The 26,634-nt window shown below is 46.4% G+C and overlaps 1 long non-coding RNA gene and 2 pseudogenes across 2 annotated transcripts, besides 2 other annotated features; 2 read left to right on the top strand and 1 right to left on the bottom strand.

Moving 5' to 3' along the window:
• Positions 1-560: 560 nt before the first annotated feature.
• On the bottom strand, positions 561-24,087 carry LINC01856 (long intergenic non-protein coding RNA 1856). The gene is made up of 4 exons (NR_110285.1): positions 23,983-24,087; positions 16,418-16,535; positions 13,753-13,875; positions 561-2,612 (listed from the first exon to the last, which is right to left on the bottom strand). It is a non-coding gene; the product is annotated as a long intergenic non-protein coding RNA 1856 (long non-coding RNA).
• RPL22P7 (ribosomal protein L22 pseudogene 7) lies at positions 7,026-7,472 on the top strand (annotated as a pseudogene).
• Positions 12,947-24,402, top strand: PLAC9P1 (placenta associated 9 pseudogene 1; annotated as a pseudogene). The gene is made up of 3 exons (NR_026740.1): positions 12,947-13,085; positions 23,583-23,706; positions 24,265-24,402. The product of NR_026740.1 is annotated as a placenta associated 9 pseudogene 1 (transcript).
• Positions 23,151-23,964: an enhancer, noted in NCBI's record as "H3K4me1 hESC enhancer chr2:130680873-130681686 (GRCh37/hg19 assembly coordinates)". NCBI's record gives its function as "activates a minimal SCP1, AML or CMV promoter by ChIP-STARR-seq in naive H9 embryonic stem cells {active_cell/tissue: H9 hESC(naive)}" and the evidence as "EXISTENCE:reporter gene assay evidence [ECO:0000049][PMID:30033119]".
• Positions 23,965-24,780: an enhancer, noted in NCBI's record as "H3K4me1 hESC enhancer chr2:130680057-130680872 (GRCh37/hg19 assembly coordinates)". NCBI's record gives its function as "activates a minimal SCP1, AML or CMV promoter by ChIP-STARR-seq in naive H9 embryonic stem cells {active_cell/tissue: H9 hESC(naive)}" and the evidence as "EXISTENCE:reporter gene assay evidence [ECO:0000049][PMID:30033119]".

Raw genomic sequence — 26,634 nt, 5'->3', positions numbered from 1 at the left:
GAACAGGAAAAAGAAAAAAATCGAACTTGTGAAAAGGGGGAAGCCAGGCACGGTGGCTCATGCCTTTAATCATGAGCACTTTGGGAGACCAGGGCGGGTAGATCATTTTAGGTCAGGAGTTCGAGACCAGCCTGGCCAACATGGTGAAACCCCCGTCTCTACTAAAAATACAAAAATTAGCTGAGCATGGTGGCACACACCTGTGGTCCCAACTACTTGGGAGGGTGAAGCAGGAGAATCGCTTGAACCCAGGAGATGAAGGCTGCAGTGAGCCGAGATCACCATTACACTCCAGCCTGGGCAACAGAGTGAGACTCCGTCAAAAAAAAAAAAAAAAGAAAAAGAAAAAAAGAAAGAAAGAAAGAAAAGAAAGAAAGAAAAGAAGGGGAAATAAAAGAAAATTTAACAGGAGTCTCAATCCTGGAGGGAAAATATCAATCCTAGTCTGGAAGGGAATAGAAGCAGAGCAGGTTTAGAAGTTAGTCCTACTCTATTCATTTTATGGGGTCCCTGCAGCAGCTGAGTTGAAATGAAGATAAAATGAAGCTTAGAGCCAGGAGATGAATATTTTAAAAAACTTTTTACTGATGAATAATGTATATACATTTTAAGAATTAGACACACCAATGCAACCAGCACCCAGACCAAATGACAGAACACTACCAGCAGCTCAGAAACCCCCTCGTTTCTCTTGCAGAAAATTGATACTGAGTTCTTGTGACATGGATTAATTTGCCTGGTTTGTGCTTTATATAAATGGTATCACACAGCATTTTTTGAGAAAATGTCTTTCCGCAATTGTATTTTCATCCATAATGTTGCATGTAGTGGTCGGTCATTCATTCTTTAGTCTGGTGTCAACGGGAATTTGCGTGGTTTACAGCTTAGGACTATGATAATAGTGCAGCTATGATCCTATGATCATTCTTTTTTTTTCTTCCTCTTTCTCTCTTTTTTTCTTTCTTTCTCTTTCTTTCTTTCTTTCTTTCTTCCTTTCTTTCTTCTTTCTTTTCTCTTTCTCTCTTTCTCTCTTTCTTTCTTCAGGGTCTCACTCTGTTCCCCAGGTTGGAGTGCAGTGGTACAATCTTGGCTCCCTTCAGTCTCTGACTCCCAGGCTCAAGCCATCCTCCTACCTCAGCCTCTCAAGTAGCTGGAACTACAGGCATGCACCACCACACCCAGCTAATTTTTGTATTTTTAGTGGAGACAGGGTTTCGCCATGTTGCCCAGGCTGGTCTCAAACTCCTGGACTCAAGCAATCTGCTTGCCTCAGCCTCCCAAAGTGTTGGGATTACAGGCGTGAGCCACCACTCCCAGCATGATCATTCTTGTCCATGTTTTTTTTTATGACCATGGATTTCTGCTAGGTATATGCCTAGGAATGGAATTGCCAGGTCATATTTATTTCTATATCTGTCAATCTGTACATACACTAAAAATCAGGAGCTCATGCTGATGCCTCTGATTCTAATCTAACACAATAGGGTTCACTTTGCCCTTCCCTTTTTATTTGTAGTTCTCTCTTTGACAGTGAGATGCCTCCCTCCCACTAAATACAATGTATTTACTTATTTGCTCAATCTCAGAATACCCATAAAATAGTTTCAGAGTTGGTAACCCATATTCCCTAGCTCTGTCTGCTGAGAGGCCCTAGACACAGTGACACCTCAGTAACAATGAGGACATCCAGCACCCAGATCTTAGATTCTAAATACATTCCCTCAATAAAGGAAGCAGAGTTCTTTGGAGAAATGATTAAGTACAGGGTGGGGTCAGTGAAATTATAAAATAATCCTGGAACATCTTATGTCAGAAAGGAAGTGCTCAAAATAGAATAAGGGCATTTCAAACAAACACAAGGGGTGACTTGAAGATGCTTACATTGGCCATACCTGGGACAGTTGGAACAATGATACAAATGATGTTGGTCATGGATTATCACTGGTAGAATAAACTAAATATCCATGAGTCTATACTGAAATAATTGCATAAGTAATTGGGAGAGAAGGGACAGCTCTTCCTTACCACTGAATTACAATTAATAAATGGAGAAGGAATTATGAAAGTAGAAAAATCATCTGTTGGAAAACACAGTGGTAATTAATATTGCAGACAAGAATCACCAATGAATGCCAAAATTGGTTGGTGAAAGTATGATGATAAACAAGATATTTACATAGTCTCCAAGACAGCTCCTTGTAAGATACTCATTAAGTTCAGAAGGAAAAATAGGATTTTACAATGGAGAAATCTTTGCTACATCATCTCTCAAAGTTAACGTCTCCAGTAATGGGATGCAGCAATATCACATGTGCCTCCTGATATAATGCATGGGGAAGGGTATAACCTGCTTCTGTGGTGTTCTCACCAAAAACACAAAACCTCATTCTCATTGTGAGAAAGCACTAGACAAACTCAAGTTGGAGGACATTCTACAAAATAATTGGCCAGTACTCTTCAAGAGTGTCAAGGTTATGAAAGACAAAAATAGCCTGGATGCTTTAAAACTGTCAAAATTATGAGAGGAGGAGAAAGACGGAGGAGCCGTTCTGGATGGAAGGATCCCACTGAGACACGGCAGCGGAATGCCACGTGCAGTCCTGGATCGCATTCTGGAGGAGAAAAAGCACGTTAGTGGGGCTACTGGCAACACTGAATGAAGTCTGTAGATTCACAGACAGGATTGCATTAATGTTCATTTCCTGGCTTTGATAATTCTGTAGCTATGTGAGATGTTAATATTTGGGGAGGCTGGTGAAGGTTGTACAAGAATTTGCTGTACTCTTTTTGTAAACTCAAAATTATTTCCAAGGAAAAATACTTAAAAAGAAAAAGAAAGAGGGAATTGGATGGGTTTGTGTAATTCTTCAGCCAAAAACTCTGCTGGCACCTCTGCCTACAGCATGAAGGGTTACTCTTTTGAGAGTGGCATTCAAGGCCCCCCATAATCTGACCAAAATTTCCCCCAGATTTACTGCCCATTCTCCTGCCGCCCACACACCTCCATCAATCTCCATGGCATGAAGGATGCACTGCTTAGAAACTCCTACTCATGTTTAAAGACCCTTTCGGGGGGCCTTTACTTTACACCTTCAGGAAGCAGAGTTAGCTGCCAGCTCTTCCTTGGTCAACAGTCATCTCTCCTGGAAACCTTGATCCTCTTCCGGGGCCTCTGCAGGCCTAGCTGGCATTACTCACAACCCTCTCTGCCCTCAGGAGACTTATAACCTGCAAGTACACCCAGCAAAGAAAACATAGTGACAGGCCCAGGAAAGCAGGTTAGAGGCAGGGAGCAAGAGAATTCACATTCTTCTGTGATCATCGGTGTTATTATTACTCCCTCTTTGTTGGTGAGGCTCAGAGAGAGGAGGTGAACTGCCTGAAGCTACACCACTAGCAAGAACAAAGTCACGATTTGAACTCAATTCCTTTGCCTCCCTTACTAAGAGATACTAACTCGGAAATGCTCTGAACAGTCAGCCAAGCAATGTCTTCAGACAGTTTATATTTTACTCTGACTCTCACCTCAGGGAGCCAAAATAAGATCATCTCCCTAGAGAGCACTGCAGAGAAAATTCTCAAAGAGCTGGAGGGAAATGCCAACCCACTTCTACCCGCCGAAGCCACAGGGAATTCATAGCTTGATGCACTTTCAGGAAATAGCGACGGATTTCACAGTGAACTGAATTGACACTTAGCAATGTGAATCTGCAGCTAAAACATCTCAAAACCGACTACATGGACACCAGGCACTGCGGGTGGCTGAGTTCTTTTGCTGGGCCCTCAATTTAGGCCAGTTTCCTCCCCTTCTAAATGTGGATTTATCAATTCAAAAGACACTGGTTGGAAAACTGCTATTGCTAAGCTCTGGGAGAATCACAGAACCCATTGCATAGGGTAGCAGCCAAGATTAACTGAAAAATAGACTATGTAGCCATTGAATACTACTCAGCCATAAAAAGGAATAAAATAATGGCATTAGCAGCAGCCTGGATGGAGGTGGAGAACATTATTCTAAGTGAAGTAACCAGGAATGAAAAACCGAAGATCGTATGTTCTCACTTATAATTGGGGGCTAAGCTATGAGGATGTAATGCATAGGAATGATATAATGGACTTGGGGACTGGGGAAAGGGAGTGTGGGAGGGGGTGAGGGATAGAATACAACACACTGAATACAGTGTACACTGCTCAGGTGACGGGCGCACCAAAATCTCAGAAATTGCCACTAAATAGCTCATGCATGTTGGCTGGGTGCGGTGGCTCACACCTGTAATCCCAGCACTTTGGGAGGCCAAGGTGGGTGGATCATTCGAGATCAGGAGTTCAAGACCAGCCTGGTCAACATGGTGAAACTCTCTCTACAAAAAATACAAAAGTTAGCTGGGGGGTAGTAGCGCATGCCTGTAATCTCAGCTACTCAGGAGGCTGAAGCAGGAGAATCACTTGAGCCTGGGAGGTGGAGGTTGTGGTGAGCCAAGATTGTGCCACTGCACTCCAGTCTGGGCGACAGAGTGAGACCCTGTCTCAAAAAAAAAAAAAAAAGAAGGAAAGAAAAGAAAACAACTTCATATCCTTTGCAGGGACATGGATGAAGCTGGAAACCATAATTCTCAGCAAACTAACACAAGAACAGACAACCAAACACTGCATATTCTCACTCATAAATGGGAGTTGAATAATGAGAACACAGGGACACGTGGAGGGGAACATCACACACTGGGGCCTGTCAGGGGGTGAGGTGCTGGGGGAGGGACAGCATTAGGAGAAATACCTAATATAGATGACAGGTTGATGGGGGCAGCAAACCAACATGGCACGTGTATACCTATGTAACAAACCAGTACATTCTGCACATGTATCCCAGAACTTAAAGTATAATTTAAAAAAAAGAACTTATCTATGTAACCAAAAACCACCTGTTCCAAAAACTATTGAAATATATATATATATGTAAAAGAACTTATCTATGTAACCAAAAACCACCTGTTCCAAAAACTATTGAAATACATATAGTTAAAATGAATAAGATCTATTATTTGATGGCAAAACAGGGTAATTACAGTCAACAATAATTTATTGCACATTTTATGTTTTTTTCTTTTTCTTTTTACTGTACCTTTTCTATGTACATTTAAAAGTAGCTAAAATAGTACAGCTGGAATATCTGTAGCACAAAGAAATGGTAAATGCTTGAGGTGACAGATACCCCATTTACCCTGATGTAATTATTACACATTGTATGCCGCATCAAAACATCGCTTGTGCCCCATAAATAGATATATCTACTATATACCCATAAAAATTAAAAATTAAACACATTTTAATCAGAAAAAATAAATCTATAATATAATTTTTACAAATTAAAAAAAAACAGACTATATAGTGCTACACACCAGGTTGGACATGAAGTCAAAATCATTAATGTTGGCTGTTTTAACTATTGGTATTATAACTGTTAATATTATTATTATTATTATTATTTTTGAGATGGAGTCTGGCTCTGTCACCCAGACTGGAGTGCAGTGGCACTATCTCGGCTCACTGCAATCTCCACCTCCCGGGTTCAAGCAATTGTCCTGCCTCAGCCTTCTGAGTAGCTGGGATTACAGGTGCGTGCTACCACATCTGGCTAACTTTAAAAAATATTTTTGGTAGAGACAGCATTTCACCATGTTGGCCAGGCTGGTCTTGAACTCCTGACCTGAAGTGATCCACCCACTTTGGCCTCCCAAAGTGCTGGGATTACAAGATGAGCCATGGCGCCCGGCCAATATTATTATTATTATTTATTTATTTTGAGACAGTCTTGCTCTGTCACCCAGGCTGGAGTGCAGTGGTGCAATCTCAGCTCACTGCAACCTCCGCTTCCTGGGTTTAAGCAATTCTCATGCCTCAGCCTCCTGAGTAGCTGGGATTACAGGTGTGTGCCACCACACATGGCTAATTTTTGTATTTTTTTGTATTATTATTATTATTTTCAGTAGAGATGCGGTTTCACCATGTTGGCCAGGCTGGTCTCAAACTCCTGATTTCAGGTGATCTGCCCACCTTGGCCTCCTGAAGTGCCAGGATTACAGGTGTGAGCCACCACGCCCAGCCATAACTCTTAGTATTAAACCTCTACCCTCACGCTACACTTGGCTTCTCCCTGTACCAAGCAGACCTCCCCATCTTCCTACAGCTTATCCTACCTGGGAGGATTCAGGGCCACATTTAAGAAAGGGGGCAGAGCCGGGCGGGGTGTCTCACGCCTGTAATCCTAGCACTTTGGGAGGCTGAGGCGGGCGGATCATGAGGTCAGGAGATCGAGAACATCCTAGCTAACACGGTGAAACCCCGTCTCTAATAAAAATACAAAAAATTAGCCAGGCGTGGTGGCGGGCGCCTGTAGTCCCAGCTACTTGGGAGGCTGAGGCAGGAGAATGGCATGAACCCGGGAGGTGGAGCTTGCAGCGAGCTGAGATTGCGCCACTGCACTCCAGCCTGGGTGACAGAGCGAGACTCCGTCTAAAAAAAGAAAAAAAAAAAAAAAGAAAGGGGGCTTATTGCAGCACAGTTCATAATTCCCGAGGCACAGAACCACCTTAAGTGCCCACTGACCAATGAGTGGATAAAATGTGGTATATGTACACCATGGACTAATACTCAGCCATACAAAGGAACGAAATAATGTCTTTTGAAGCAACTGGGATGGAGTTGGAGACCATTATTCTAAGTGAAGTAACTTAGGAATGGAAAACCAAATACCATATGTTCTTACTTAAGTGAGAGCTGAGCTATGAGGACACAGAGACATACAGAGTGATATAATAGACCCTGGAAACTCAGAAGGGGGAGGATGGGCGGGGAGTGTGGGATAAAAAGCTACATATTGGGTACAATGAACACTACTTGGGTGGTGCGTGCACTAAAATCTCAGAATTCACCGTTTTACAATTCATTCATGTAACCAAATATAACTTGTACCCCCAAAGCTACTGAAACTTTACAAAATTAATAACAATTTAAAAAGAAACAGCTCTCTTTCTGCCTCCACTGCCGCCATGGCGCCTGGGAAAAAGCTTGTGGTGAATGGAAAAAAAAGAAGCAGGTTCTGAAGTTCACTCTAGATTGCAGCCACCCCGTGGAAGACGGAATCATGGACGCTGCCAATTTTGAACAGCCTTTCCGAGAGAGGATCAAAGTGAACTGAAAAGCTGGGAAACCTGGTGGAGGGGTGGTGACCATCGAAAGGAGCAAGAGCAAGATCACCATGACATCTGAGGTGCCTTTTTCCAAAAGATATTTGAAATATCACACCAAAAAATTTTGAAGAAGAATAATCTATGTGATTGGTTTGTGTAGCTGCTAACAGCAGAGTTATGTTACTTCCAAATTAACCAGGATGAGGAAGAGGAGGAAGATGAGGATTAAATTTCATTTATCTGGAATATTTTGTATGAGTTCTTGAATAAAACTTGCGAACCAAAGAAACAAACAAAAAACCTTCTTTTTCTTTTTTTGAGACGAGTCTCACTCTGTCACCTAGGCTGGCATGCAGTGCCGTAATCATAGTTTGCTGCAGCCTCGAGCTTGTCATCCTTCCACCTCAGCCTCTTGAGTAGCTGGGCCTACAGGTGTGTGCCACTACACCCGGCTAATTTTTAAATTTTTTTGTAGAGAGAGGGTATTACTATGTTGTCCAGGCTGGTCTTGAACTCCTGAACTCAAGCCACCTTCCCACCTCAGCTTCCTAAAGTGCTAGGATTACAGGAGTGAGCCACTGCATCCAACCTCAAAAAAACTTAAATCTCAACCTGTCGTGTCGCCCCCTCCTTTTCCTTCCCTCAACAGAGACATCCACATTCACACTTCACTGGCTCACTTTCTCCGGCTATAACTTCTGTGCCTTGGGTTAGTAGCCCCTGTCCATCTGTGCAGAGAGCGGGCTAGCCTTGCCCAGTGCTCACTGAGAACTCTCCCATTGTGGGTCTTCCTGGTATCTCTGGAAATCCTCTCTTGTGCCAGAGGGAGAAGACAAGGAGGCTTTGTACAGCTCAGACCCTCCCAACCACTGAGGCTCTTTTAATTGGGCTGTCCTCTCAGCGTACTTCTCTCCCCAGAGAGATGACCAGCCCCTATTTCCTGTTTCCTTTGCCCTTTGCCTTTGGGTATGAGTTGGGAGAGCAAGCCCCTGCCAGATTCCCCACCACTTGTGCCCCGGCCCAGCCAGGCTGGGAGGACCTGTGCACATCCTGTAGCATTGCCTGTGGAGGCAACACAGGCGCCTGGGAGGCAAATCCCCAAATTCCTAAATAGTACCTGTGTGCCCTGGGCCACCTCCTAACTTCTCCAAGCCTCACATTCTACATGCTCCCATGACCATGGCAGGTACTGTCACAATCTGCATGGATTATGAGGCTACCTGCCAGGGTCATGGGAGCATTAAGTGAAAGAGGAACGTCTGCACATTAGGACACTTCATTCATGCAGGTGGTTATGAGCGTTTTCCCCTAACTGCACAGGTCTTGCCCCTCTGTGCCCCCTATATCCCATTTGTCCCTTTCTCACCTCCACTCTTTTCCAGATTCTCTATTTAGTGCCCTTCTTGGGACTTGAGAGTCAAGGGGCCTGATCATGCTGAGGACCATGAATTTTGGAACCAGATCTACCTAGCTTCCAAACTGGGATCTGCCACCCTCCACCCTTGAATCAAATATATTTAATAGATCTTATTTTTTAAAATGGGGATAAGGATATCTACTTGATAGGCTTACTGACGCAAGGATTAAATAGGATAATGCATATACAGCCCCAGCACAATACCGGGTTCAGAGAAGTTTAGCAAATAATAGAATAATAAATAATAAGAGGTATTATTAGATCCAGCTGGCTACCCCCTTGCTTTGAGGCTTGGCATATGGTTGGCATATTTCTCTAGTTCCTGCCACTGATGCCAGTCTCCCCTATCTTTAATTTCACTGGTCACTTTAGAGAATATTGGAAGGAGGAGGTTTGTTAACTGGGTCCACTGGCTCCATACTATCATTTTGCCCAGGAGTTTCCCGATCTTGGCTCACTGAAACCTCTGCCCTCTGGGTTCAAGTGATTCTCCTGCCTCAGCCTCCCTAGTAGCTGGGATTACAGGCGTGTGCTACCACGCCCGGCTAATTTCTGTATTTTTAGTGGAGACAGGGTTTCCCCATGTTGGCCAGGCTGGTCTTGAACTCCTGACCTCAACTGATCCACCCGCCTCTGCCTCCCAAAGTGCTGGGATTATAGGCATGAACCACTGCACCCAGCCAAACACTTGTTGATAGTGGCATCTTTTAAAATTTTTTTAATTTTTAATTTTTTAATTATTTATTTATTTTTTAGAACAGTGTCTCACTCTGTTACCCAGGCTGGGGTGCAGTGGTATGATCATAGCTCACTGCAGCCTCAAACTCCTAGGCTTAAGCGATCTTCTTGCTTCAGCCTCCCCAGTAATAGGCACATGCCACAAAGCCCGGCTAATGTTTATTATTTTTTTTTAATTTTTAGTAGAGATGGGGTCATGCTGTGTTGCCAAGGCTGGTTTCGAACTCCTGGGCTCAAGTGATCCTCCCACCTTGGCCTCTCAAAGTGCTGAGATTACAGGCATGAGCCACAATGCCTGGTCAATATGGCATCTTTACCTCATTCCTGATTTAATAAAGAATACATTTCTCCTTTTTCTTGTATGTACATGTGAACTATTTAAGATAAAAGTAGTTGGCCGGGCACGGTGGCTCATTCCTGTAATCCCAGCACTTTGGGAAGCCGAGGCAGGAGGATCACTTGAGCCCAGGTGCTCAAGACCAGCCTGGGCAACACAGCAAGCCCCTCATCTCTATTTTTTTTTAATTTGAAAAATTATAAGTGTAAAAATTAAAAAGTAGTTATCTTGTTAAGGAAATGTCCCATTATTTCTTTTATTTTTATCGTAAGTTTGTTGCTATTACTGTTTTTAAGTTAGGGAGGGTTGTTTAATTTCATCAAATATGGTTTCAGTATTTATTGAAATTATGTTTATTTTGCATTTTTGTTTCCTTGACCTTGTGACAGATGTGATGTACAGAGATTTTCCCAGAACTCCCCTTGGAAATGAGTAGCTAGCAAACTACTTTATGTTCAAAGTAGTGGCAAAGTTTGGACCACGCAATACAGAGAATTAGGACATTTAGATATCCATTTAGGGAAAATTTTAAGTTTGATTCCTTCCTTGCAACCACATAAAAATTTTAGATGGATTAGACATTAGACCTTGAGAAAACCTTAAAACAATTTGAAGAAAACATAGAAAAATATCTTTACAGCCTTGATTCAAGGAATCATAAGCAAGTTGTAAACACTATAAGCCAGAAAAGAAAATATTAGATTTGGCTACCTAATATTTAAAACTCCTGAATAATGAAAGACACCACCAAGAAACGTAAAGATAATGGAAGGCTGGAAGAAGACATTGCCAACATATATAACAGGCATTGCATTAATAATCAGAGTATATAAAGGAAAAGGAGGAAAATAGAAAAAAGTAATCGAGGCAAATAAAGCTTAACCTCACTCATAATAAATAGCATGTAAGTAAAAATAACAACAAGGTAACATTTTCCATCATCGAGCTGTCAAAATTTTAAATGATAAATATCCAATGTTGGAGAATGTAGGTGACCGCTAGGTTTACACTTCAGGTAGCTCCAATCCCGAAGTATTTTATGTAAATGGCGCCCCCTGCAGCCCAATTCTTACGTAGACCAAACATGTACTCCAGTGCACCTTGGAACCGCGCTGGAAGACCCCTGTCCCTCCTGTCCCTTCTGTGGGTTTAGTGACAATTTGGGGAACAGTTTTTGGCCTATCTGGCAAAATGTAAAAGACCCTTTGACCCAATAATTCCTCTTCCAGCCTTTCAGAAATACATGAATATGTACTATGTACATAAAAATATATGCAAAGGTATATTTATTAAAGTTTATTTTATATTGGAGAGAAAAAGGAAGCAATCTAGATGTCCGTCAATAGGGGACTGTTTGGATAAATAATGCTGCTTGCATCTATTCATGAGATATTTTAGATTTATCTGTACTCACATAGATTGATCTCCAAGTTTTTTTTTTTTTTTAATACGAAGTCTTGCTCTGTTGCGCAGGCTGGAGTGCAGTGGTGCAATCTTGGCTCACTGCAACCTTAGCCTCCTGGTTTCAAGCTATTCTCCTGCCTCAGCCTCCCAAGAACCTGGGACTACAGGCACCCACAACCACACCCAGTTAATTTTTGTATTTTTAGTAGAGACAGGGTTTCACCACGTTGGCCAGGCTGGTCTCAAACTCCTGACCTCAGGTGATCCACCCACCTTGGCCTACCAAAGTGCTGGGATTACAGGTGTGAGCCACTGCACCCAGCCAAGATTTAATGTTATGACTGAGGTAAACATGAATGAAAGCAAATCTTCAAAATATTTATGATTTGATCTCATGTATATACATTTGTCTCTGAATACACATTAGATAGACGGGGAATGCATAGATGTGGAACAGGCAGAGCCTACCAAGCCAAGGGAACTGGACCTGAATCGTTGGACAGAGGGAATTTGTAACAGAAAAGACTTTCATGTTTTTCTCTGTATACTTAATTACTTTGTGCTCTACCACAACAAGAATGTACTGTATATGTTTTTTGTGTTTCTTTTTTTCCCTTAATCTTAAATTCAAAATATAAGGTCGTCCCCTGGCTGTGAGCTACAAGAATCCTTATGGGTTTGGCAGTTCTTTGACAACTTCCCACCTGGCTAAATTATCAAGGAATGTCCTACCAACAAGCATGAGAAATTCTTGGCATTCCTGAAATAAATTCTTCTGAGCCAGCTCACTGGGCATCATAAACTCCTTGAAGACTTTAAAAAGATTTAGATCTGAGTCTGTCTCAGATTCTCGGGCTCAGAATCTGAATTTCTTCATTTGAGGCTATTATCTTGCTCTGGAGGAGGGAGTGAGAACTGGATCACTGGTTAGGGTGGTGACTGTTATGGACAACTGCACAGCCACAGCCAGGAACACAGAAGGCAGAGGCAGCCTTGATCTGCAAGGGCTCCAGTTAACCCCAATGGGGACCCTCAATGGACAAAGGCATTCTCCTAGGCTTGGTGATGAAAGTATTCCTCTTACAGCCAGGCAAGGCACTCAGGGCTCTGCAGCAGAGAAGTTGGAGCTGTAGCTTTTTTCCTTGGTGTTTTCACTAAAACTTAATTTCTTGTTGCACTTGTTGGATGGGCATGTCCCATAGGGGAAGTTTCCACTACTGTGTTCTAAACTTTGGACTGCTTGTACCATCTTACTTGTCCCCTCATTAATAATGAATTAAATAAAACCTTTAGTATATGCTAATTTCATATCTTTACAAGAGTCATGATTTTACCTTTTTTTTTGAAAAGTACCTTTTCACATTGCTATCACTCCCTTACCAGAGCAGTGAGTGTCTGGGTCTCCCTCTTAGGGGCAGACACTGTTCCATGTGATTAGAATTAATTTCTTGTTCTCGGTAGACAGAGAAAACCTTCCACACTCCCAGGAGACGAGAGTTCAGATCTTGTGCCATGGCTGAGAGTGATGCTGAGGAAGACACTTCTCTCTAGTCTCAGTCTGCCTGCCTGTGAAATGGGCTTATAACAAACTCCTGATCCCAGGCTCAGTCGCCTTGAGCCCATGACCTCACCCAACCCCTCTCCTTCCTCCCGTGCCCCCAGGAGGCGCGGGGACTCGGGGGGGGGGGCGGCCCCCTTTCCTCCGGAGGCTCCCGGGTGGCACGTCAGTGCCTCAGGTCCCGGGGGTTTCTGGGTTCTGCGCTGCCCATGGGGTGCGCAGGAGCCTCTGGAGGGGGCGGGTTCTCTCCAGCCAGAAAGCCCGGAGTCGCCCAGGAAGTTTGGCTCGGACTGAGAGCATTTCCTTCTGGGCCGGCCGGGCGCGATCCGGGAAGGGCGGCTGCGGTCGCAAGCCGCGCTGCTTTCAGCCAGGCTGGCACCATGCGGCCCCTGCTTTGCGCGCTGGCCGGGCTGGCCCTGCTCTGTGCCGTGGGCGCTTTGGCCGGTGAGTGGGGCGCGGGGCATGGCAGGGGACACGGAGCCGGGGAGATCCGCAGATGGTGAGGAAGGAATGAGCAAGAGACAGAGCTGGACACAGCAGCGAGATGGAGAGAGAGGCAGATACAGGGAGGGAGGGATGGAGAGAGAGATGGTGAGAGGAAACAGACTCAGAAAAAGGCAGAGAAGTAGAGCAACGGAGAGATAAAGGAGAGAGGGAAGAATAAACAGTGAACAGGAAAAAAGGAGAGGCCGAGACAGAAAGAGGCTTTCCCTGAACAGATATGAACCAAGATAGAAATAAAAAAGAGTTTGAGAGACAAAAGAGAAGAAGGAAAGAGAAAGAGTGACTAAAATGGCAAGGGGTGGAGGGAGAGAGGATAAGAAAAGAGAAAGATTTGAGAGATACCAAAAAGGAGAGAGAGAGGGAAGCTCGATGCCCGGAGTAGAGCTTGCAAGAGAGAAGGAGCCAGGATCCGGGGTGGGAGGTCACAGCTGCTGGGTGGGGCAGCCCCGGAGGCCAGCTCCATCTCAGAGGGCCTGCGGAGGCTCAGGCCTGGCTTTATAGGACATTGCTTAAGAAGCCAGACTCCAAAGGGTGAGTGACCCAGGCCAGCCCAGCACAGCCTTAAGGAGCCAGGCAGGCGAGCCCAGGAGAAAGGCCACCGACTCACCTGCCAGGTGGCCTCAGGTGGTTCTGCAGTTGGTGAAGAAGTCAGCCTCCCGGTTTCCAGGGAGCTTCTCTGGGGAACTGAGCTGTTTTGGGTGGAGATGGGGGACTGGATGGAGATGCAGAGCTGTGTGGGAGGGAGAGGCTGTCTCGGTACTCCATTAGCTGGGTTCCTTGCCTTTCGCTGTCCCCTTTCTTCCCCCCACCTCCCCCCTCAGCTTAATGTTGCCCCTTCACAGGTGAGGCTCAGACAGGGTGACTCATGTCAAGTGACTTACTAGACTGCAGTCTGGGGCGGTACACAGATGCTCATTCCACCACCCTGCACATTGCACAGGACTTTACAGTTTACAAGCCACAATCCCACTTAGCCAGGGATGGCTATTGCTCATTCCAGTTGCCCAGGTGAGGGGAAAGCTCAGATCTCATGATGGTGCCAACGCAGAGCCCTCACAAAGCATCCAGGCCTCCTGCCCCCACAAGTCGTTGCCCCGACCTTGGCAGAAGTGTCCTGTACTAAGATAGAAGCCCCTAGTGCCTTTCAGGGCCCGGTGAACTGTGGGATTAAGCACTTGGGGAAAGGATCCAGACCAGCCCTCGGGATCCCCTGCTTTGGGTGAGTCCCTTCCCCTCTCTGGTGCTGTTTCTTCCTCTATAAATTGGGGAGAATGATACCCACCCCACAGGGCTGGCCTCAGAGATTAGATAAGAGAGGAAGTGCCCAGCAGGGAACATGCATCAACATACATTCTCTCAGATGACTCCACTGATCTCTCTGAGCCTCAGTTTACCCACCTGTTAAAGATGACCACCAATGGCTTCCTCACAAGCTGCACGAGGAGTGGCTGGGACTCTGCTCAGCATAGAATACAGGCCCCAGTACACACCCTGCCACCCCCCTCCCCTTTACTCCCTCCCAGCTCAGCCCCAGGCTCCAGGAGCTAAGGGCACAAAGCAGCACCTGTGTTTCTCCCGGAGGGAGGAGGGAGCAGCCTGCCCACAAGTGGCTACTTTTGGTGCCCCTTTTAGCCACAACTTGTACAGAGACTTTAAACCCACTTTTAAACGTTATTTTTCTTTCTGATTATGCATGCTCATTGCTACAGATAAAGAAGAAAAGGAGTTTGGGAGGCCGAGGCGGGCAGATCACAAGGTCAGGAGATGGAGATCAGCCTGGCTAACACAGTGAAACCCTGTCTCTACTAAAAATACAAAAAATTAGCCAGACCTGGTGGCACAAGCCTGTAGTCCCAGATACTTGGGAGGCTGAGGCAGGAGAATCACTTGAACCTGGGAGGCGGAGCTTGCAGTGAGCCGAGATCAAGCCACCACACTCCAGCCTGGGTGACAAAGCAAGACTCCGTCTAAAAAAAAAAAATGAAGAAGAAAAGGAGGAAAGTATTCATGTGTTAGTGTAATTTCACATTGACTTCCTACATTTTTGTGCATATTCTTTCAGATTTTAGATGATATATCTTAACTCTTTATTATGAAAACTTTTGGATACAAAAAATACAAAATAATAGTATATGAAAGAATGATATAATGTACTATTAACTCTGCTTCAACAAGTATCAGTTCATGGGCAGTTTTTTCTTATCTATAGTCTCCACCCTTTCTCCCTTCCCTGGATTATTTTAAAGGAAATCCAGGCATTGTATGTTTTCTTTTTTTTTTTTTTCAGACAGGCTCTCATTCTGTCACCCATGCTAGAATGCAGTGGTGCAATCTCGCCTCACTGCAGACTCTGCCTCCCGGGTTCAAGTGATTCTTCTGCCTCAGCCTCCCGAGCAGCTAGGACTACAGACACATGCCACCACACCTGACTAATTTTGGTGTGTTTAGTAGAGACAGGGTTTCACCATGTTGGCCGGGCTGGTCTCGAACTCCTGGGTTCAAGTGATCCACCTGCCTCGGCCTCCCAGTGTGCTGGGATTACAGGTGTGCACCACCACACCTGGCTAATTTTTGCATTTTTTAGTAGACACGGGGGCAGGGGGGTTTCTCCATGTTGGCCAGGCTTGTCTTGAACTCCTGACATCAAGTGATCAGCCTGCCTTGGCCTCCCAAAGTGCTGAGATTACAGGCATGAGCCACCACACTGGGCCCCAGTCTTGGTTTCTTTTAGCAGCACTCAGAGAAACCTTTATCCCTGATGGCTTTTTAGACCATGAGCCACCACACCCGGCCCGCATTTTGGAGTTTTTTATAGAAACACTTGAAGAATAGTGTTCTGCTGCTTTCAAAAATAATCAAAACCCATGGATCATTTTGAATGAATCATACATTTTAATACAAATATTGGATGTGGTAAATTTATTATTGTATTGTATTGAATGTGGTCAAATATAATTAACCCCCAGGTGGTCAGGGTTGTTTTTCAAAGCAGAGTGTGATTTTGACAATTCGGAAGATACAGCAGCACCTTTCACAGATGCCACTGAGAAAACATTTCTCATCACCGAGCACGCAGAAATCATCTGCGTTGTGGCACTTTCTTACTGTTTGGGTCCAGATACAAAAGGTCTCCCCATAAGGCCTGGAAGTAGATGGAGCGGTACTTCTGCCTCAAAGGATGGGACCCAGGGGCCACGTCTCTTTAACTGGGGCAGCCAGCCCAGCCCAGCCGTCCCCTGGGGCTTCTGGGCTCCACAGCAGCCTGTACTCACCAGCACAGGGTGCCCCACCTGTAGCCACCATCCAGGGTGTACATCAGGCCCCAAGCAGGAGCTGGGCCAGAGAAAACAATGCAGCATCCAAGGAGGTCCATTTCCCAACTGGCGGTGCCTGGGAGAGCGGGAAGAAAAGAAGGAAGGGAGCCCTGTGGAGCCACAGCCTTGGCTGCTCAGGGTTAATCATCATAATCCTTCAGCCTTTCCACTCCCCTTGTCTGAGCCACTGACAGCCCCGTGGGTGCATGTGCGTGTCTACTAATTTTTTTTTTTTTTTTTTAATACAAGACAGGGTTTTTCTCTGTTGCCCAGGCTGGAGTGCAGTGGTGCAATCGTAGCTGACTGTAGTCTCAAACTCCTGAGCTCAAGCGATTCTCCCACCTCAGCTTTCCAAATACCTGAGATTATAAGCATAAGCCACCAATCCTGGCTAATTTTTTAATTTTTTTTTTTTGTAGAAACAGAGTCTCACTATGTTGCCCAGGGTGTCCTCAAACTTCTTTTCAAGCGATCCTCCTGCCTCAGCCTCCTAAAGCTCTGGGATTACAGATGTGAACTACTGAGCCCAGCCCCTGTAGCTAATTTTTGAGGCCTCTCTGCAGCTTCTGAAAGACAGAGAAGAATTAAGGATGAGCTACATGGGGGATTCAGGGCCTCAAGCCTACCCTACCCCCATTTTATGGAGGAGGCAGCAGAGGCTCAGGGAGGAGAAGGAACTGTCTCACAATCCCACAATCATTAGTGGCTGAACCAGGCTGAGAACAGGGGTCTCCAGCATGTTTTCTGCCATGATGCGTTCAAGTCAGCGCCATGGTGAGGACTCTGGTGCAGAGGGAGCAGGCAGTACAATGTTAGGCCCTGCTCCAAGCTTGTTCTCTCAGATGCACTCCGTGGAGGCCTTGATGACCTCATGGACAGTTGCTCCAGGGTGCACAGAGCACAATTGTGTCCAGATGTGAAGGATTAGTGCTGAGCCATGTGGGGAGTGACCTCAGCCCAGCCTTTTCCCTGGAGGGGTTTTGGAGCCAAGTTAGACCTTGTCACAGACACGTAGAGAACAGGGTGTTTTAGGCCAGTGGAGAGGAGCAGGCTCTGGTTGCTCCTGACTTCCAAAGCAGCCAGACTCCCACTTGGCTGGCAGGGTCACACTGCGTCCTCCTGGTCTGAGCTTGGGGGAGGTGTGTGAGGGGAGAGTGGCTAGGGTCTGGGAGAGGGCAGGTGAGCCTCCGGGGAAAGGCTTGGCCAAAGGCCTCTGGACAGAGCCAGCAGGGGGTGTGTGTATCCACAGACTCATGATGACAGGCCCTCTCCCAGGTCGGCCACTCTGTGGGTGAGAACAGCTCTTCGGGCCTCCTCAGAGCTTTTCCTCTCCAAGCCGAGCAGCCCAGTTTCAGCTGAGACAATTGAGTTAAAATTTGGAGTCCCAGACTGGGTGCGGTGGCTCATGCCTATAATCCCAGCAGTTTGGGAGGCTGAGGCGGGCGGATCACTTGAGCCCAGGAATTCGAGCTTAGCCTGGGCAACATAGTGAAACCCCATCTCTACAAAAAATACAAAACTTAGCCAGGCTCAGTAATGTGTGCCTATAGTTTCAGCTATTCTGGAGGCTGAGGTGGGAGAATTACTTGAACCTGGGAAGCAGAGGTTGCAGTGAGCCATGATCGTGCCACTGCACTTCAGCCTGGGTGACAGAGTGAGACCCTGTAAAAAAAAAAAAAAGGAGTCCCTTCCCATAGCCTTCTCTAGACCTGCTCCTGCCTCTCAAGGGCCTTCTCAGAATGTGGGGCCAGGATGGAGCATAGCCCCCAGTGGCCTCTCTCTCTCTGAATATTTTACATGGATGCCTGCAGCCCACCATGGCTGCTGCTTTCTGCTGACAACCCCGCCAGACAGCCAGCTTTTGTTATGGAACATTTCAAACCATGCACACAAAAGTAGAGAGAATTGCTGAATGCACCCCCGTGTGCTCATCACCCAGCTTCAGCAATTAGCAACTGTCAGCCCATCCTCTTTGCTCTAAATATCCACGCATGCCTCTCCCCCATCCCCACCCAGGCCTGGATTATTTGGAAGTAAATCCCAGACAGTATAGCATTTCATCTGTAAATATTTCAGTATAGGTCTTTAAAGGACTCACCATAAAAAAATAACCAAAGCACCATTATAATGTCCTCCTCCCTCCCCAGATTCAGCAATAACACCATGATCTTTTGCAGAATCTTTTCTAAGTTCAGTGGAGGGAAATAATGAAAAGGAGAATTTGAAAAACAGATTGTTCTCCACAAAAGATGCTCAGAGTGGAAGGACGTTTTGTTCCTGGTCTTGTTCTCATCCCTGAGTGGAAGAGCTGAGAGCTAGATAGAGTTGAAATCAGAAAATCACAGGGCAGGGGGCCCCATCTTGCTGAGATGAGGCCTGGAGGTGAGGGTGCCTGAGTTCCAGGCATTTGCAGATGGTGTGACCTTAGACAAATCACTCGGCCTCTCAGAGTTACACATCCATCACCAGCTCCATCCTATCTCAAGACCTGCCCCACTTCTAGACAACTGCAGATGACCCCTTGGCCAACCCATCCAACACCAAGGCCTTACAGCTACAGACACTGCATGTACAGAGATCCGTTCCATAACTCTCTCCCCCAGCTGAGCTTTGGATGCCCACATCCATGGCCACAGCCTTAATATTGTCACTATCTGAAGCTGCCCTAACTCTAAAAGCTAAAATTGCAATATTCTTTACCTCTTGTTCCTCCTGTGATTCCTAAGACCTCCAGTCTCTTCAGCCCCCATTTCTCCCAATTTATTGGCCCTCTTCTTGGCCTCATTTCTTTCCTTATCCCAGCTGGATTCCAGGGCTCCTCTCCTAAACCCCTGGCTGGCCAAATCTCAGTTCCTTGGCCCCTTGCTTCCACCACATCCATCCTGCAGACTCCTAGGTTTCAGCTCCATCCGGCCATCTGTCTTTGCACCCAGACTGTGGAGCACTGCTGGGGGAGGACTTGTGCTTCCAGGATTCCTTGTTGATGCCAGCTCATTCTTCATGGTCCTCCTCCACTGCATCCCTCATTCTGCACATCCCCTTTTGAAGCCCTCTTTTTATTCAAGTCCCTTACCTAGTGGTACACTGATGGACTGGCTCTCAAAAAAAAAAAAAAAAAAAAAAAAAAAGGACGGGGGGGGTGTTGATTTCTGTGATGTAAATGTTCTCATCATGGCCACAATTTTTTTTTCTTTTTTTACTTAAAAAATTTTTCTTTTTAGAGATAGGGGTCTAACTATGTTGATCAGCCTGGTCTCTAAGTCCTGGCCTCAAGTGATCCTCCCACTCGGCCTCCCAAAGTCCTAAGATTGCAGGCATGAGCTACCATTTCCAGACACCATGGTCACTATTTTAATGTCTGTTTTTAGCAACCTACTCATAGAATTCTTGAAATTTTAACATCTAGCTCTCCTCCCTACGTGATCTCCATCTTACTGCACCGAGTAAATAGAGGCTATCAGGTGGGAGCTCACTCCACTTTTTGGCCCTCTAGTTAGATGGTTTACCTTTGCCCATTTTTGCTTCATTCCCTCTGTCTTCCTTCCAGATGTGTTCCCACCCGCTCTGGATCCAGGGCCTCCCATCAATTCAGGAAGTGCATTCCTTGGGTTCTCTTGTCTTCCTCCTGTCCCTCAGGCTGTAAGCATGGTTGTGTTTTCCAGTGTTTAAAACAAAAACAAAAACAAATGACAACCATAAATACTTCTCTAGACCTTGCGATCCAATCTCCCTTCCTTCACAGCCAAGCTTCATGAAATTTTCCAGAATCCAAGTTTCCACTCCCAACCTCACCTTCCCTTCTCATGTCATGGTAATCCAAACTCTGCTTTTCCTCCACTCCTAAAAGTGCTGGGGTGAAATTTAGCAGGGCCTTTCCCATGCTGTGTTTCCAGTCCTTATTTTGCTAGACCTCCCTGCTGCTTTCGGCTATGCCAACACTTTTCATCCCCTGTAGAATCCGTAAAGCTCTTGGCTTCTCTTGACTGCTGGGGCAGCACTCTCCTTCCTGAGTGTCAGTGTTCTCCAAGGTTCCAGCCAACCCTGATGCCCCACAGGCATCTCAGGGTTACCAACTCTGAAATCCGAGCTTGGAATCAGGGATCTCAGACTTCTGTTGTGAAGGTTGATGGTGCCTGGAAGAGCTAACTCAAGGAGAACAGTGCTCAATCAGGAGTTGAGCGGGTTGAATGGCAGATCCTCTGCTTATGAGTAGTGACTCTGGACACATCCTTTCACCCTTCTGTGCATCAGTTTTCCTACATGTAGATTGGGCATAAGAACAGGCTGTTGGAGAGGTTAAGTGATCACCCTACATGGTGCATGGTAAGCACTCATCACATGACAGCTGTTACTAATGGGTTCCCAGTGTCAATGCTGCTACTGAAATACCTCCTCTCATTTTCTTTCTCACTATTCCTACAGCTACTCGGGAGGCTGAGGCAGGAGAATCGCTTGAACCGGGGAGGCAGAGGTTGGAGTGAGCTGAGATTGCACCATCACACTCCAGCCTGGGCAACAGAGCTAGACTCCATCAAAAACAAAACAAAACAAAACAACAACAACAAAAACAAACATCAGAACTGGTTTATGAAAGCCTCTTGGTTAAAGCTCTGTCCCCTTGGCTTCATTTCCAGGACTTCCCTCTCCAGTCTCTCTCCCACCCACCCTGTATCTCCAGCCACTGCAGGCTCCCTGCAGGGTTTGCACAGTGAGCCATGCTCTTTCAGGCCTCTCCATCATTGCAGGTGCCATTCTTCCTGGCTGAAGCCCGCCTTCCCTTCCTCCCTGGGCTTCACCTCCTTGAGGAAGTCCATCTGGGTCTGTAGGTGACTGCCACTGTAGAGATTGGTGGGATTGAGATAACTGACAGTCGCACACTGACCCCCACCTGGGCCATCCTCTTCTTGCTCTTGAGTTTGCTTTGAGGACTGACCTCACTTGAGCCCAGTATTTACAGAAGTCTCTGGCATTGTGGAAAACTAAGGGTCCCACAGTGACAAGACTTGTTTTCCCACAGCTGCAGAACCCTTCATCGCTCCCTGAGGAGACTCAGCTCAGAGCACAGCATGTGACAGACACATGGCTATGCAATGCCATCTAGATGTCATAGAGGAGGTAACAGGGTGCTTTGGAAGGACATGTGGTTTCAGGACCACCTTCTAGGATGATGTTTTTATGGGCAGATGCAAGCTTGCTTTGGAATGTCAGGACATCAGGCCAATCCTGCCCTGGGGCCACCTTGTCCAACATCACCCTCCCATCTAGGCTGCCAGGCTGGCGAGCCCCCAATGGACCCTGCCTCCCCTAAGGCCTTACTTACCCCCACCAGGACATTTCAGCATCATTACTGGATGGGAAGGTGGAAATCCAGTCACTGTTTTGTTATATAGCCACGATTCCTAACTTGTGTGGGGAAAAGTTTACATCTTTATTGTCACAAGCCTTTAACTGAAATTGAGCATTCCCATTCATCATAAATTACAGACAGCAAGCCGTGGTGTTAATAGTACTATAACTTTGTCACCAATAGAAATCCAGATAATTTCATCTTCTTCTAGTTATGAATAGAAGAACATTTATATCATTCATTATGTCAAAATTTCAGTTGTTGTTAGGCCTGATGTTAGATCATGTGAGTTAGTGAGTTAATAAATACATTTTTTTTTTTTTGAGGCAGGGTCTCTGTCTGCCGACAAGGCTGGAGTGCAGTGGTGCAGTCTCGGTTCACTGCAACTTCCACCTCCCAGGCTCAAGCAATCCTTCCACCTCAGCCTCCCAAGTAGCTGGGACTACAGGCACATGTGCCACCATGCCTGGCTAATTTTTGTATTTTTTTGTAGAGGCAAGGTTTTGCTATATTGCCCAGGCTGGTCTCGAACTCCTAAGCTCAAGCCATCCACACACCTCAGCCTCCCAAAGTGCTGGGATTACAGGTATGAGCCACTGTGCCCGGCCAATACATATATCCAAATTTTTAAATTTTGTTTTTGATGGAGTCTTGCTCTGTCACCCAGGCTAAAGTGCATGGTACAATCTCGGCTCACTGCCATCTCCACCTCCCAGGTTCCAGTGATTCTCATGCCTCAACCTCCTGAGTAGCTGGGACTACAGGCATGCACCACCATGCCCCGCTAATTTTTTGTATTTTTGGTAGAGATGGGGTTTCACCATATGGCCAGGCTTGTCTCAAACTCCTGATCTCAAGGGATTTGCCCATTTCGGCCTCCTAAAGTGCTGGGATTACAGACGTGAGCCATCGTGCTGGGCCAAAAAGTTTAATTTTAAATATTTGAATTTTTTTTTTTTTTTTTTTTTTTTTGGCAGAGTCTCTCTCTGTCGCCCAGGCTGGAGTGCAACGGCATGATCTCGGCTCACTGCAACCTCCATCTCCCGGTTCAAGCGATTCTCTTGCTTTGGCCTCCCGAGTAGCTGGGACTACAGATATGCATCACCGTGCCCGTTTTCTTTTTGTATTTTTAGTAGAGACAGTTTTCCCACATTGGCCAGGCTGATCTCGAACTCCTGACCTCTGGTGATCCGTCCACCTCGGCCTCCCAAAGTGTTGGGATTATAGGTGTGAGCCATCACGCCTGGCCTAATACTTGAATAATATTTTAAAGCAATTGGTGCTCTTGGTAATTCTATATGTTTTATTTTTTGCATTTAAGGCATTATTCTGAGAAGAGGTCTGTAGGCTTCACCACACTGCCAATGGGGTCCATGGCATACACAGGGAAAAACCATTAAGAACCCTGAGTAAATTTCAAAATCCCAGACCTGTCATTTGGCAGAGACACCACCAGGGAGCAGAATAACAAAAAGAATGTGAGCTCCAGGCTGCAAAGTCCAAAAGGGAGAAGGTAATCTACACGCGCTTTATCCAAACCTGTGACTGAGTGCCAAAAAGGAAGGAGCCTTAGAGAGCGAGCCCCATAGGATATTGTCATCTGGGGAGATTGAGGCAGGTAGGCGCAGAGCCTGAGTGAGGAAAACCCAGGTCCCGCAGCTCCCAGTCCTTTTCCACTGCACCCCACTGGACCGCCAGCTGCTTCTTAGGACCTGGCTAATGAAGCAGAACGTGGCACCACTCCTGTCCTGGACGTTACCCACCTTCTCACTCTAGATGGTAGAGAAGACCGTGGATCACCTGGGGACACAGGTGAAAGGCCTGCTGGGCCTGCTAGAGGACCTGGCCTGGAACCTGCCCGGGGGACCCTTCAGCCCCGTCCCCGACCTCCTCGGAAAAGGTGAGCAGTGCAGGTGGCAGAGGACAGCCTCTGGGCTGCTGTCATCTGGCGCTGTGCAGGCGAGACGGGGACGGCTGCTACGCCGCACAGGTGTAGCCTGGATAGCAGGGAGGGTCCCAGCGCCCCCTGGGGACGGAATCGGGACCGCATCATCCCTGCTCCCCTCCCCTACCACCCCGCCCCCACACCCGGTCGCTGCCTCCCAGCGTCAAATGAGGTTCTGGAAGAGCCGGCCCTAGATGACATCTCAGCACAACCCCGGCGCAGAGAAGCTACCTGCTTCATTGGCCTTCTCACGACTGGAGCTCCTCAGTTCCTTTCATTTCCCCCTGAGGAGCCACTCCTGTTCCACCCCAAAACCGTCGCAGGGAAGACGGGCACCCCCACTGATCAGGCAGGGATGGGGTTGCACTCTGTTCTCTCCTTGATCCCTGTGTCCCTGGCGCAGGAGGAGTTCCCGGGGGCTGGGGAGGGGAGGGAAGGCACTGCTGAGCACCACGGGGGCGGGTACCCTGCAGCACCCCAGCTTGCTCAGTGGAGGCCGCTGCTTTCTTTCAGATGGCTTCTGAGCCCCGGAGCTGGAGCCCAGCAGCTGGAGGTGGTGCACCTGCCAGGCAGCACCCTCTGATAGCCAGCGCTGTCCTCTCGCCTTCCTTCCTCAGCTTCGTGTGAAATAAAAGCTACTGTTTTTGGTCTCCTCTGTGTCTGCTGACAGAGTAACCCGTTTACAGCCCCCTCTCCCTCCACTTCCATGCCTGGGGGAGGCCGGCCACCCCCTCCAGGCTCAGACCTGGGGACACGCCCACTCCCGCCATCTGTGCTTTAGCATTCCCTTATTTATAGGGGCAGATGGAGCAGGGGTTGATTCACAGAGGTGGGGGCCCTTCGAGTGGCCTTGCGTCTCAAAATGTGGCCATAGGTGAGAAGCAAGGGGAGCACGGTCTCAGGACCCACCCGGACTCCTTAATCCAAATCTGCATTGCAATCAGACCCCCAGGGAATTTATGTGTCCATTAAAGAGGTTTGTTGTTGTTTTAAAAAAAATTTCCTATGAAGTGGAATTCAATGTAAAATTCATCATTCTAACCATTTTAAATTGTGTAAGGCTGGGGGCAGTGGCTTACGCCTATAATCCTAGCATTTTGGGAGGCCAAGGTAGGAGGATCACTTGAGCCCAGGAGTTTGAGACCAGCCTGGACAACATGGTGAAACCCCATCCCTACAAAAAATACAAAAATTAGCCTGGCATGGTGGCATGGTGGTGCATGCCTGTAATCCCAGCTACTCAGGAGGCTGGGGTAGGAGGATCACCTGAGCCCTGGAGACCAAGGCTGCGGTGAGCCATGATTGTGCCACTGCACTCCAGCCTGGGTGACAGAGTGAGACCTTGTCTCAAAAAAATAATGATAATAAAATAAATAAATTGTACAAATGCAGTGGCGTCCAGTACATTCAGAAGTTGTGCAGTCATCACCGCCAGTTCCAGAACATTGTTCTCACTCTAGAAAGAAACTCTGTATCTATCAAGCAGTCACATCCCATTCCTGCTGCCCCCCACCCCCCCTGGAAACCACTGATCTCTGTCTCCATGAACTTGCCTCCTCTGGACATTTTAAATACAGTAGTCCTGCTTTATCTGTGGTTTCACCTTCCATGGTTTCAGTTACCTGAAGTCAACCACAGTCCTAAAAGATTAAACTCCAGAAATAAACAATATATGAGTTTTCAATTGCACATCATTCTAAGTGGCGTGATGAAATCCCTCGCCATCCCACTTTGTCCCACCCGGGACATGAACGCTCCCTTTGTCCAGCATGGTCCACGCTGTCTACACTTCCAGCCTGTTAGTCACTTAGGAGCCTTCTCCGTTACCAGGTTAACGGCCACAGTATCACAGTGCTTGTGTTCCAGCAACACTTCATTCACTTAATCAAGACCCAAAGTTCAAGAGCAGTGTTGCTGGCATACGTGGTTGTTTTTCACGTAACTCTCCCTTCACAGAAGCTGGCATATTGTTCTAGTTTTTCTATTTTATTCTTAGCTATTGTTACTAATCTCTTATGGTGACTAATTTATAAATTAAACTTCATAGGTATGCATGCATAGGAAAAAACATAGTATCATAGAAGTAGATACTATTGTAGTTTCAGGCATCCACTAGTGGTGTTGAAATCTATCTCCTGAAGGTAAGGAGGTACCACAGTAAATAGAATCATACAATATGTAGCCTAGCTGTATCTGGCTTTTTCCTCAGAGCATAATGTTTTCAAGGGCCATCTGTATTCTAGCATGTATCAGTACTTCATTCCTTCTTATGGATGAATAATGTTTCATAGTATGAATATACCACATTCTATTTTTTTTTTTAGACAGAATCTCACTCTGTCACCCATGCTGGAGTGCAGTGGCATGATCTTGGCTCATTGCAACCTCTGCCTCCTGGGTTCAGGCGATTATCCTGCCTCAGCCTCCCGAGTAGCTAGAATTATAGGTGCGCACCACCACGCCTGGCTAAATGTTGTATTTTTGGTAGAGACAGGGTTTCACCATGTTGGTCAGGCTGATCTCGAACTCCTGGCTTCTTGATCCACCTGCCTCGTCCTCCCAAAGTGCTGGAATTACAGGCGTGAGCCACCACACCTGGCCCACATTTTATTCATTTATTCGTCAATTGATGGACATTTGGGTCGTTTGGACTTTTTGGCTATTATGAATATTGGAGAATGTTCCATGTGTGCTTGAGAAGAACATGTACTCTGCAGCTGTTGAGTGGAATATTCTGTAAATGTTTGTTAGGTTCTCTAAGTCTATAGCTTTGTTCAGGTGCACTGTTTACTTATTGATTTTCTGTCTGGATGTCTTCTATCCATTATTGACAGGGGAATATTAAAGTTTTTCTACCATCATTGTATTTATGTTTATTTTTCT

The sequence above is a fragment of the Homo sapiens genome, chromosome 2 (assembly GCF_000001405.40).
Source record: "Homo sapiens chromosome 2, GRCh38.p14 Primary Assembly".
In the NCBI taxonomy this organism is placed as follows: Eukaryota; Metazoa; Chordata; class Mammalia; order Primates; family Hominidae; genus Homo; species Homo sapiens.
The sequence above is the reverse complement of the archived record's forward strand: the minus strand, read 5'-3'. Positions and strand labels throughout refer to the sequence as shown.